General features: G+C 45.1%; 1 annotated feature.

The window, feature by feature from the left end:
* Window positions 318-612: an enhancer, noted in NCBI's record as "tiled region #10462; HepG2 Activating DNase matched - State 5:Enh". NCBI's record gives its function as "activates a minimal TATA promoter and a strong SV40 promoter by Sharpr-MPRA in HepG2 cells {active_cell/tissue: HepG2}" and the evidence as "EXISTENCE:reporter gene assay evidence [ECO:0000049][PMID:27701403]".

Below are 6,408 nucleotides of genomic sequence, written 5' to 3' on the forward strand. Positions count from 1 at the left end.
AAAAAGACATTATTAGTACAAAGACATCAGACTCTGGAAACAGATCCTGAAACTGCTCAGGAAAATCAACCCTAGGACAAAACCCACGGCATCACAGATAACTCATTTGTTGGGACATTGGCTCAAAACAGTTTGGCGGTGATACTCAAATACATCAGAGTTCTCATACAAGGGTACAAACACCTCACACCTGAAAAGAGAGACTGCTAAATAGTTCAGAGACATCATACTCTGCACAGGAACCACCAGAGAGTTAAGAAATTTCACACCTATAGACCTTCAAACAACTCAGAAAACTCACTCACTGGCGCACACACACCCATTACAAGCTCAGAGACCTTAACCCTGGAACAAACCCCTAATGAGTCAGATATATCAAACCCCGGGACTGAGCCCTCTGAAAAGGAACAGAGACTTCACGCCTGAAAATATATCCCAAACAGGTCAAGGGACTTTGAAACCAAAAGAGCTCAGGGACCACGTATCCTAGGACACCAGTGGACAAACAGCTCAGAGACCTCACAAGGTAAACACAGTCCGCAAAACAGCCCAGTGAACTCACCCCCCTGGAATGTAGACCAGAAAAAGCGCAGAACCCTCGCATTCAGGATTCAGAATCCTTCTGAGACTTAGGGTATAGACCCCAAAATATATTTCAGAGAATTAATATGCTGGATGCAGAGTATCAACTAATTCAGAGGCCTCAAATTGTGGGACGTACACACCCAAAGAGATCAGAGAACTCACATCCTGGACATACACCAACAAACAGACCAGGGACCTCAACCCTGTGACATGTGCGCGCGCGCGCGCACACACACACACACACACACACACAGCTCAGAAAATCCAAATTCTAGGAAACACACACCCAAAAAGAACGGGGACCTCACATCCTGTGACATACTCACAGAAAGATCAAAAACCACACAAGCTGAGATATACACCCACAAATATTTCAGAGAACTAACATCTGGGGCCTTATACCCACAAACAGATCACAGAACTCAGTCCCTGAGACATATACACATAAAAATACCAGACACTTCACATGCCAGGACATATACCCATGAATAGATCAGAGCACTCACACCTTGGGAAATAAACCAAAGACTACATCAGGGACCTCACATATTACTTGAGGCACACACTCACAAAGAGACCAGAGACTCAATTCCTGGGACATAAACCCAAACACCTCAGAGATCTCGCATGCTGGGACAAAGAAAGAAAGACAGGTCAGAACCTCACAACCTGGGACACAGAGCCACAAACAGATCAGAGATTACACACTGTTGACAAACATACAGGAACAGATCAGAACCCTCACATCCTGAGACATACAACCACAAGGAGATCAGAGAGCTCACATCTTGACATACACCCATAACCAAACTAGACTTGACATTCTGGTACGCTGACCCTCAAAGAGATCAGAGAATTCATACCCTTGGACTTACACCCACAAATAAGTAATAGACCTTGCAGGCTAGAAATACACATAGAGCCTGTCATCCTGGAACATAAACCCAAAAAGAGGCCAGAGAATTTACGTCTTGGGACACACACCCACAGTCACAATAGAGACTTCACATCCTAAAATATAAACCCACAAAGGATCAGAGATCATAAACCAAGGGATATACACCCACAAAGGGAACAGATACTGTCCACTGTGGGATATACATTGAGAAAGACCAGAGAAATGCACATCCTAGGAAATACACTAAAAAATCCTGGGAAATAAATCCACAGACAGTAATGAAACACTGGGATATACAAACCCACAAACAGATCAGAGACCACACACCCTGGGACACATATCCACAGACAGTATGAGATTTCACGTCCTGGAACAAACAGCAAGAAACAAATCAGAGACATTAAACACTTGGCAATACATGTGAAGAGATCAGAGATAACATAGCCTGGGACACTGACAAAATGTTCACAGACCTCGCATGCTAGGAAATTTGCCCAGAAAAAGATCAGAAACCTCACATCCTATGACACACAACCTCAAATAGATCACAGACATAAAATCCTGCAAAACACACCCACAAACCATTCACAAATCTTGCATCCTGGAACATACAATGACAAACAAATCAGAGACCTCACATCTAGGGGAGGTCACACCCATAAAGAGAATACAGATAACAGACCCCGACACACACGCATACCCAGAAACATACAGATAACTATCTTACGAATATAGCTGCAAACAGATCAGAGGGCTCACATCATGGGATATACACTGACAAAAGGATTAGAGACCTTACAACGTGGACATGCACCCACACAGATCAGAGACCTCCACTCCAGCAACGTACATGGACAAATGGCTCAGAGCTCTCACATCCTGGAGCATACAAAAACAATCAGAGACTTCAAATCCTGCAGTATACAACCATAATCCAGTCACACTTCATGTGCTGAAAAACACACCCAGAAACAGATGGTAGACATGACATCTTACAGCATAACTCCCAAGAGATCAGATGATTCAACAGTTTTGGCTTCAAATTTCTCTCTGACCTCTGCTTCTGTCATCGCATCACCTTCTGTGACTCTACTTCTGTTGTCACATGGTCCTCTCTGATGTGACACACACAGTCTTCTCAGACCCTGAAGGTCCTACCTTCCTCATATAAAGACTCTTGTGATGACAGTGGGCCCACCTGGATTGTCCAGGATAACTGCCCCCATCTCAGGATGCTTACCTAATATGTATTTGCAAAGCCCCCTTTCCAGATAAGACAACATATTAACAAGCTCCAGGAATGAGGTGAGGACATATTTGGGGATCTATTATCTGACGAAACAGAACATACATGCACAAAGAGAACCCTCACATCCCGGGACTTTCACCCATGAACTGCTCACAGATCTCACAGCTGGAGTCATAGACCTCCAAAGGGATCGGAGAACTCCCACTCCTGGACATCAATCCAAAAAGATCAGAGAGCCACACACTCTGGGGCATACGCCAAATGATGCTCATAGTCCTCACACCCTGGGGATTAAACCCACAAAGACATAAGAGAACCACACTCTGCCAAGTACATTCTCAAAGAGAACCGGAACCTGACACGCTGGGATATACACTAGCGAAGAGATCAGGGACCCCACATTCTGGGACAAACACCCTCGAACATACCAGATCTCTGACTCTGAGACACAGACACAAAGAACACAAAAAAACACATTCATTGACAGACACCCACAGACAGGTCAGGAACCTCACAAACTGGACATAAAACCACAAAAAGAATGGGACTCACACCCTCTATAAACACCCTGAGGAGATGACACACTCACATACGATGACACACACGAACAAATGGATCAGAGACCTATCTGAGAACCTATCTGAGAAACACAACCAGAAACCATACCAGAGACCTCTAATACCACGACATGAAACACCAGGTCACAGGCCTCATATGCAGAAAATACTCCTGAAGAAGTACAGAGACCTGCTGTCTTTGGTATAGACCCAAGAGGAGATCACAGGTCTCCCACAGAGTGCTCCAAAACCACATTGTGGATACATGTACCACAACAAAACCTGACTTCTACTATAAATACCAGCACACAAACCAGAAACTTTATATGCATATCATAAGTACCCACAAATATTGGCAAAACAGCTCAGAAAATTCATGCCAGGGATATATACCCACAAACAGATCAAAGACCTCATATCCTAGGCTAAGCATTCAGAATCAGATCAGAGAACTCACTTCCTGAGAGAACCCTCTCAAAGAGGTGAGAGGCTGGGCGCGGTAGCTCACGCCTATAATCCCAGCACTTTGGGAGGCCAAGGTGGGCGGATCACCTGAGGTCAGGAGTTCGAGACCAGCCTGGTCAACATGGCAAAACCTCATCTCTACTAAAAATACAAAAATTATCCAGGCATAGTAGCACGGGCCTGTGGTCCCAGCTACTTGGGAGGCTGAGGCAGGAGAATTGCTTGAACCTGGGCGGCAGCAGTTGCAGTGAGCCAAGATCGCACCACTGCACTCCAGCCTGGGCAACAGAGTGAGACTCCATCTCAAAAACAAACAAAAAAAAAGAGGTGAGAGACCTCACTCTCTGCTTCATTCACCAGCAGACATACCAGAGGCTTCACACCATGACACAGAGACAGACAAATCAGGGAGTCTCACATCTTGGGACATAAACCCAGAAACAGGGCAAGAATTTCAAGCAAAAGGAAATATACTCACACAGAGCTTGGAATCCTTACACCCTAGACATACGCACCTCAACAGATCAGAGAACTCACACACTGGCACATGTACACAAAATCAGATTGGAGATGTCCCATCCTAGAACATACGCTCCTCCACAAAAGCTGAGAGCACAAATTCTGGGACACACACCACCAAATAGGTCATCAGATCAGAGACCCTGCACAGAAATCAGTGACCTCCACTATCAGACACACACCCTCACAAATAGATCATGAAGTTCACATCCTGACAACCAGATAGAGACAGCACAACCTGACACACTATTGATTTTCTATTGCTGCTGAAACAAATCACTAAAAGCTTTTTGTCATAAAACAATGCAAATTTATTATCTCACTCAGCTGGGGGTGGCTCATACCTGTAATCCCAGCCTTTTGGGAGGCTGAGGTAGGTGGATCCCTTGAGCCGAGGAGTTTGAGACCAGCCTGGCCAACATGGCAAAACCTCGTCTCTACTAAAAATACAAAAATAAGCCGGGAGTGGTGGCGGGCGCCTGTAGTCCCAGCTACTCGGGAGGCTGAGGTACGAAAATCGCTTGAGCCTGGGAGGCAGAGGTTGCAGTGAGCCAAGATGGCACCACTGCACTCCAACCTAGGTGACAGAGTGAGACTCTGTCTCAAAAAAATAAAAATAAAAAAAAACTTATGATCTTACATTTCTGACAAAGAGTCTTACAGGGTAAAAGTCAAGGTGTTGGCAGAGCTGACTTCTTTCTGGAGTTCCTTGGGGAGAATCCAATTTCTTTTTTCTTTTTCTTCTTTCTTTCTTTTTTTTGAGACAGAGTCTTGCTCTGTCGCCAGGCTGGAGTGCAGTGGCGCGATCTTGGCTCACTGCAACCTCCGACTCCCTGATTCAAGCGATTCTACTGCCTCAGCCTCCCGAGTAGCTGGGATTACAGGCACGCGCCACCACACCCAGCTAATTTTTGTATTTTTAGTAGAGACAGGTTTTCACCATGTCGGCCAGGATGGTCTTGATCTCCTGACCTCGTGATCCACCCACCTTGGCCTCCTAAAGTACTGGGATTACAGGCGTGGGCCACCACGCCTGGCCAAAGAATCCAGTCTCTGTAGGCTGCCTACATTTCTGAGCTCATGGCCTCTTCCTCCATCTTCAAAGCCAGAGGTCTGTTTCACCTTCAAATCTTTCTCTCTCTCTCTGTCTCTCTCCCCACCCCCCTTTCTTCCTCCTCCCCCATCTGTCTCTCCTTGTATCCATCTATCTCTAGCTCTCTTTGATCTCTGTATATGTTGTCCATCATCTTTTCTGTACTTCCATCACTACATAGCCCTCTCTGACTCTTGCCTTCACGCCTCCCTCATATAAGGACACCTGTGATTACATTGGGCCTGCCCAGTTAATCTAGGATAAGCATCCCCATCTCAGGATGCTTAACTTCCACAAAGTCACCTCTGCAAAGTCCCTCACAATCACCTCTGCAAAGTCCCCCTTTCCATGTAAATTAGCATAATTGTAGGTTTCAGGGATTAGGAAGTGCACATCTTTGGGGTACCATTAGCTACCAGAGACCTACATACACACACAAACAATTCACAGACTTTACATCCTGAGTCATACACTTCCAAATAGATAAGACACCTCCACTCTCTAACAGACATCCAAAAAGAGCAGAGACACATTCTGGGACATATACCAAAAAATACTCAGAGTCTTCAATCACTTGGAATTAAACTCACAAACACATAAGAGAACTCACCATCTGGGACATACACACTCAAAGAAAACATGGACCTGACATGATAGGATATATACCCACGAAGATATCAGGGGCCCCACATGCTGCAAAATGCACCCCCAACAGATCAAATCTCCAAACCTGGGACATACACACACACACACACACACACACACACACACACACACACACACACACTGCAGAAAGAAACATTCTCAGACATAAACCCACTACCAGGTTAGGTATCTTACAATCCGGGACATGTTGAATTAGACCTCACATCCTTGACAAATACACACAAAAGAGACACTCACATACTGTGACATTCACTAGCAAACAGATCACAGACCTCATGTAAGAAACACAACCAAAAAGAGATCAGAGACCTTGAATCCTGCAACATGAAACTACAAACAGCCTAGAGACCTTACCTGCAGGATATATATGCAGAAT

The sequence above is a fragment of the Homo sapiens genome, chromosome X (genome assembly GCF_000001405.40).
Source record: "Homo sapiens chromosome X, GRCh38.p14 Primary Assembly".
Classification (NCBI taxonomy): domain Eukaryota; kingdom Metazoa; phylum Chordata; class Mammalia; order Primates; family Hominidae; genus Homo; species Homo sapiens.